Consider the following 6681-nt stretch of genomic DNA (forward strand, 5'->3'; position numbering starts at 1 on the left):
CCACAGGCCAGGGGAGCGGTGAGATATGCCAGGAGGCTGGAGGGGCTTGGTGAGGCTGGGTATGGGGCAGAGGACCTGAGGTCCTCCAGCTGTATCTTCTCCATCCCAATCTCTGTGCTGCAACTAGTGAGATTGTCCTAAAATGCAGCTGTGGTTGTCACTCTCCAGATAAACACTTTTCTCTGGCTCCCCATTGTCCAGATTCCCTCCCACCATGACTCCTTCCTGTTCTGGTCCCGCTCCATCCTTCTGGCTCTTTAGCCTACCGCTCCTAAGCAACCCCACCTTACAGACCAGTGGGACCAGTCATCCTTCCGTGAACGTGCTATGATCTTTTTCCTGCCTCTTTGCCTTTGTTTGTGCTGTGCTCTCTGCCTGGAATGCATTTTCCCCATTTCTCCTCTGGGACAATGCCTTCCTATCCCTCAAGAGCCTGCTGAGTTACCACGTCCTCTCCGAAGCCTTCCCTAACTCACTAGGTACAGTTCCCCTCCCTCAATGGGTCTTCCCCTAAGTTCTTGGCCTCCTACTGGCCACATGAGTTGTTACTGCCTATTGACACAGTTATCTCCTTGGCCAGACTGAGAGCTCTCTGTGTTCCTCTGTGACTCCCTGGGGCTGGGCCCAAAACAGGTGCTCAATGAGTGTTGACTCTGGGGCAGTGGTGTGTGCCTTACCCCCCTCACCCCACCTGATCCTCTGAGACTGCAGGCAGAGTCTCCAAACTGTGTTCCCCCTATCTGATCACTTGTCATTCTCCCAAACAGGTCAATGCCCAAGTTCATGAGGAGGAACAAGACCCCAGATTACCGGGGACAGCACGTATTTGGGGTGCCACCCCTCATCCACGTGCAGCGCACGGGCCAGCCACTGCCACAGAGCATTCAGCAAGCCATGCGCTACTTGCGCAGCCAGTGCCTGGACCAAGTGAGCCCTCGTGGGGCAGCCTGCCGGGAGATGGTGCAGGGGTGGGGTGGTGGTGGGCATTGGGCTGAAGGCTGAGGAGCTGGGGAGAGGAACTGCTCTGGCCTTCCCCCTCACTTGGGCTGGTCCACCAGAGGCCTTTGCTGTTCTCAGCAAGGACCAGCAAGGATGAAACTCCTTTCTACTCCTTATGCCCAGCTCTGTGCTACCTTCTTTCTGGCCCAGGCTCTGTAGTCCTTATCTTCTGGGAGCCTGAATTTGCCTAGATCCACCTTTTTCTACTCATCTCCACAAAAGCATCTTTTTTCTTTTGTCCTGAAGCTGTAAAAATCCTTCTCTTTGGTTTTCCCATTTGTCTCCTACCCTGCCCCTCAGGAGGCCTGATAAGCTTTGAAGTCTCTGGGGTGGCCTAGGCTCCTGACACCCAGTCTAGGGCTGGCCTCACAGTCTGCCTCCTACTCATGCATGTTTTCCTCACTCCCTCCCTCCCCTGCATGGAGTAGGTAGGCATCTTCCGCAAGTCTGGGGTCAAGTCCAGGATCCAGAACCTGCGTCAAATGAATGAGACCTCGCCTGACAATGTCTGCTACGAGGGCCAGTCAGCCTACGACGTGGCTGACCTGCTAAAGCAGTATTTCCGGGACCTGCCTGAGCCCATCTTCACCAGCAAGCTCACCACCACTTTCCTCCAGATCTACCAGCGTGAGTCGCCCACTCCTATCCCCAACAACCTGTCCCATTCTCAACCTCCCTGAATCCCAGAACTTGTGGAAGATAAACCTGGTGCAGGCAAATGTAGCTGGACCTGTGAGCTGATTGGAACAGTTACTATCTGGAGTTGGAATGGCCCTTGCAGAGAGACCATTCTGCTTCCCCAAACCCATTATATGGAAAGGTAGACTGAGGCCCTGAGGGAAGAACTACATAAGGTTACACTGTATGTTAGTAATAAAGCTAGATCAAGCACCCAGAGACCTCACAGAACTGACATTTTCCCTTCCCTCTCACCGCTCCCCTTGGGACTGCTGTGCCTTTTGCCCCCTTGGAAACAGGAGGCTGGCTGCTAAGGCCTCTGGGGAAGTAAGGAAGGCTCTTCTTCCATTGCTTCCTCACAGTCCTCCCCAAGGATCAGTGGTTGGCAGCAGCACAAGCCGCCACCTTGCTGCTCCCCGATGAGAACCGAGAGGTGCTACAGACCCTGCTCTACTTCTTAAGTGACATTGCCTCTGCCGAGGAAAACCAGATGACAGCAGGCAACCTGGCAGTGTGCCTGGCGCCCTCCATCTTCCACCTCAATGTCTCTAAGAAGGATAGCCCCTCTCCCAGGTGAAATGGTGCACGGCATGTCAGGGCCGGGCTGGGTCCAGACAATTTGGGCCCCACTGGACTTTTGGCTTTTGATGGCTGGCACTGCTGTGTCTCAGCCTCACCACAAGGAGTGAGCCTGACTCCTCAGGGGCCCTGGGCTGGTGGGATGCTGTGGAGCAGGGCCTTCCAAAAGGCAGCAGGTTGTTTTGTGGCCAGGTTTGGCAAAGTGGCTTCCTGGCAGCTAGAAGGCAGCCTGTCTGCCATCTTGTCTTGTGCTCTTGTGCCATCTCTCCTCTCACCACCTCCTGCTCCATCTAGGATCAAGAGCAAACGCAGCCTCATTGGCAGGCCAGGCCCTAGGGACCTGAGTGACAACATGGCAGCCACCCAGGGCCTGTCGCACATGATCAGTGACTGCAAGAAACTTTTCCAGGTGAGTAACCCCAGGCCATGACACCTACTTACCAGACCTGGGGGAACCATCAGGCCTGACCTCGGTGCCCCAAGTCAGGGATAGGACCCAATTTGACACATACCCCTCAAGCTTATACCCCCAACTCTTCCCCCACAATGTTTCTCATCTACCTTGCTGTGGTAGCTGCACCTCTCCACTGCCCTTAACGTGAACCTGACAGACCCCATGGGGTCTCCTGCTCTCTGGAGCTGCAGCCCATTGTGTGTGTGCCCTCTCAGGTGCCCCAGGACATGGTGCTGCAGCTGTGCAGCTCCTACAGCGCAGCTGAGCTCAGCCCTCCCGGCCCAGCCCTGGCTGAGCTGCGTCAGGCCCAAGCTGCAGGGGTAAGCCTGAGCCTCTACATGGAAGAGAATATCCAGGACCTGCTGCGTGATGCTGCTGAGCGCTTCAAGGGCTGGATGAGCGTGCCAGGGCCCCAGCACACGGAGCTGGCTTGCAGGAAGGTGAGTGCCACACCACGGGTGGCTGCTATGGGGCTGGGAGAGCATGGTGCAGGCAAGGGTAGTCAGAGAACCCAAAGGAAGGAGCCGGGGAGGAGCTGCCGCCTGAGTCTCGCTGTGCCTCGGCCTGGTCCTTGGAGAATGTCAGAGAGTCAAGAAAGTACCTTAAGGAATCAAGAACCAAATGAGACCAAGGGAACTCTCTCAGGAACCACCTGCCAGAATGACCTTCCAAAAGCCCCGTTCCAGATACGATGCTGCTTTGATAGCCTCAACTCCCATCTCTCCCTGCCCCGCAGTCCAGCTGAATCCTTGCATTTGCACCTTTGTGCGGTCCTGCTGCCTGGACTGCCCTGACCCCAAGCATTACGTCTCCCGAGTCACCTTTAGCGACAACGGAATGTGTTCCTCCTCCATTCAGAACCTTCTGTCATGCCCCAGGATGGAGGGGATTTCTCTCTGTTCCCCTCTGGGCACTGGTCATGCTCTTTCTTGGACGTGGATTCTGAGTAAGATTGCAAGCCTGAAGTGTCCTGTGTAAAAAAATGGTCATAACAAAACCTTCCATGTAGGATCAGGGTGAGTGTGAATGCCTGGTACATACTAAAGGTTCTGTAAGTGGCAGCTTTTGTTGTGCATGTGTTTTACTGCCTGTGCTAGATGGCAAGCTCCTTGACAATCACCATCTTCCTGCACCTCCAAGCACTGTGCCCATCATGGTAGGGCCTGAGAGGCCTCTGAGAATGTGTGCCCCGTCATCTCTTTATGCTGTCTAACAGACTGAAAAGCAGACATCCAGAAAAGAGAGAGAGAGGGCAGGGAGCATGGGAGCACTGTCTCAGTCTGGCCAGCGCTAGCAGAGGAGCTCTGCAGCCTACCCTATTAAGCCTCAGGCCCTGCAGTTTGAGGCCTGGACTTAGGGCTGGAGTCAGAGTTCTCCAGCCCTGACAGCTGCCCCCATCCCCACTCCTGTGGCTCACAGGCACCGGATGGGCACCCCCTGCGGCTATGGAAGGCATCCACAGAGGTGGCAGCCCCCCCAGCTGTGGTGCTGCATCGTGTTCTCCGGGAGCGGGCCCTCTGGGATGAGGATCTGCTGCGGGCCCAGGTGCTGGAAGCCCTGATGCCGGGTGTGGAGCTGTACCACTATGTCACCGACAGCATGGCACCCCATCCCTGCCGCGACTTTGTGGTGCTTCGGTGAGGGGCTGCAGCTGCTACCCTTCTGTGCTTGGGGGGCCGGAGAAGTGGGGTGGAAACCAGCACTAGGAATCTGAGCCTACGTGTCCCTTCTCCAATAGGATGTGGCGCTCTGACCTGCCTCGTGGGGGTTGCCTGCTTGTCTCCCAGTCCCTGGATCCGGAACAACCTGTGCCAGAGTCGGGTGTGCGAGCCCTCATGCTCACATCCCAGTACCTCATGGAGCCTTGCGGCTTGGGCCGCTCTCGGCTCACACACATCTGCCGGGCTGACCTCAGGTATCAGGCCTGGGACAGCCTGCTCGACCCCCTTGGCCTTGACCCCCTCCCCTGCCTCTGCCCCTACTTTCTGCCCCATGCTATTGATCCCTGGGGCTGGGGACAAGTCCTTTCTTCCTTCTCCCTGGTGAGGGCTCTGGGGAAAAATCCATTGCTCATGCCTGGTTTCTTCTGCTTCCCTAGGGGCCGTTCTCCTGACTGGTACAACAAAGTCTTTGGACACCTGTGTGCCATGGAAGTGGCAAAGATCCGGGACTCCTTCCCCACCCTGCAGGCAGCGGGCCCTGAGACAAAGCTGTGAGCCTTGGGCTGGTCCCAGGGTGGCACCACCCAGGCCCCCTGGGCACCAAGGGAGCGAGGGGGAATAAGAGCAGGGCAGCCCCCTGGGTGCCGCTGTCAGGAGCAGAGCCAGGCCCAGGTGGCTCCAGCTGCCTGTCCTGTCCCCTTTCCTAAAGCTCCTCTGCACATAGAGGGGAGAAAAAGAGAATTTAGGCAACTCCACTCCCCCTTCACCCCCAACCCTGTATTCTACTCTCCCGAAAAGAGAAGAGAATCGCATGAGTAGCAAGACTGCTGCCACCAGCCACCTGCTTGTGAGGCCGCCACTTGGCATGAAGCCTCCACAGCTCCCCGCCTGCAGGGGCAAAGAGGTCGACAGCAATGTGTGATCCCAGCTCTCTGCCAGACTGAGAGGGCAAGCCGTCTTGTTTGCTGCAAGGATGCTTTTGAGGTTGGACAGGAGGTTCTGGTCCTGCCTTTGGGGCCAACGCTGGCTCTGAAGTGTCTTTTTCAGAGGAATTGGACTGGAGTGAATGGGCACAGGGGTGGAGCGCAGGGCAGCCCCAGTCACCACGAGCTGTTTCATTTGTGTAAATACGATGCTGAATTTTATGAGGCTGAGTTAAGAGTGGGCACTGACGGGCCCCTAATATGTGACATGACGATTTGGCATAGATAGGGATGTGAGAGTGGAGTACCTTCCTTTCTCAAGTCTCGAGATGCCAGTGAAACCAGTATTCCCTGACTTGGGTTTCACACTTTATCGACCACCCCATGGGGTCCTGTGTAGCCTTTGGCCACGCACTGACACTGCCCAGGCCAAGCAAAAGCAGAGTGTGGTTAAGAGACAAGGGTCTATGTCATCATCCCTTTTGCTTATGGTAGTGGGCTAACATAACAGCCCCTTTCTCAAGCAGAGACCTGGCCCCTGGGCCAGCCAGATGGAAGGGCCTATCTTAGCCAGCTGGAGCTTAAGCCAAACCTGTTCTGTCCCACTGGCCAGCCATCTTTGCTCACATGGAAATTCAAATGCCATTCAAAGGCCACTGGTGCTTTATTTTTCTATCTGCTGAGTAAACTGAAATGAGATGGGTCCCAACCACCACTGTAATTTTCAAGCCTATTTTATTTGTACCTGTAAATACTGTACAGCTAATATATATATATATATATATATATGTGTGTGTGTGTGTGTGTGTATATGTGTTTATAGAGATACACACACATATATATGTGTGTATATATATACACATACATATATATACACACACGCATTTGCACAGACACACACATATATCAATTCTCATGAGTGTATTATAATCTCTGGTGGGGGCAAGTGTCTGGAAGGCCTGAGGGGCACTTCAGATGAGAATGGAGAGGTAGGGAGCCAGGTGCAGCAGGATCCCTCAAATCAATAAAGCATTACCAGAGATGCACTTTAACTGTGTGGCTGTCTTTGCTGACAATGGGCTAGGGACTGGGGACTGGGGTTGTGACTGAGGCTTCAGTGTTAGGGCTCAGAGCATTAAGCATTCACCCCACCCTCTGCTGAGTCCTAGCTTACCGGCAGCAGGACTTGGGTGAGTCCACAAGAGGAATGGGGAGGGCCTCAGCTCTTCTCTTTGGAGAGGGATTTGCAGCCAGACATGGTGGTGGGGGGGTGGGGCAGAGAAGGGGTGGAAAGTTAGCCGGAACTTGGGCAGAAGCTGCAAACCCCATCTCATGACCTGGCCACAAGCATGACCTCAGGCATCCTAGGGAGAGGTGAGCCTGGCTA

General features: G+C 55.2%; 1 protein-coding gene across 7 annotated transcripts in view; it reads left to right on the forward strand.

Moving 5' to 3' along the window:
• STARD8 (StAR related lipid transfer domain containing 8) overlaps positions 1 to 6340 on the forward strand; it is a 78171-nt gene extending 71831 nt beyond the window's left edge. For all 7 annotated transcript variants that reach the window (XM_005262314.5, NM_001142503.3, NM_014725.5 and 4 more), the window contains 8 exons: positions 768 to 927; positions 1428 to 1626; positions 2040 to 2250; positions 2551 to 2665; positions 2926 to 3150; positions 4130 to 4347; positions 4449 to 4625; positions 4809 to 6340. In XM_005262314.5, the coding sequence (XP_005262371.1) occupies positions 768 to 927; positions 1428 to 1626; positions 2040 to 2250; positions 2551 to 2665; positions 2926 to 3150; positions 4130 to 4347; positions 4449 to 4625; positions 4809 to 4926 (1423 nt within the window). In that variant the 3' untranslated portion in view covers positions 4927 to 6340. The remainder of the gene's footprint in view (positions 1 to 767; positions 928 to 1427; positions 1627 to 2039; positions 2251 to 2550; positions 2666 to 2925; positions 3151 to 4129; positions 4348 to 4448; positions 4626 to 4808) is intronic.

This window comes from Homo sapiens, chromosome X, assembly GCF_000001405.40.
Source record: "Homo sapiens chromosome X, GRCh38.p14 Primary Assembly".
Lineage (NCBI taxonomy): Eukaryota > Metazoa > Chordata > Mammalia > Primates > Hominidae > Homo > Homo sapiens.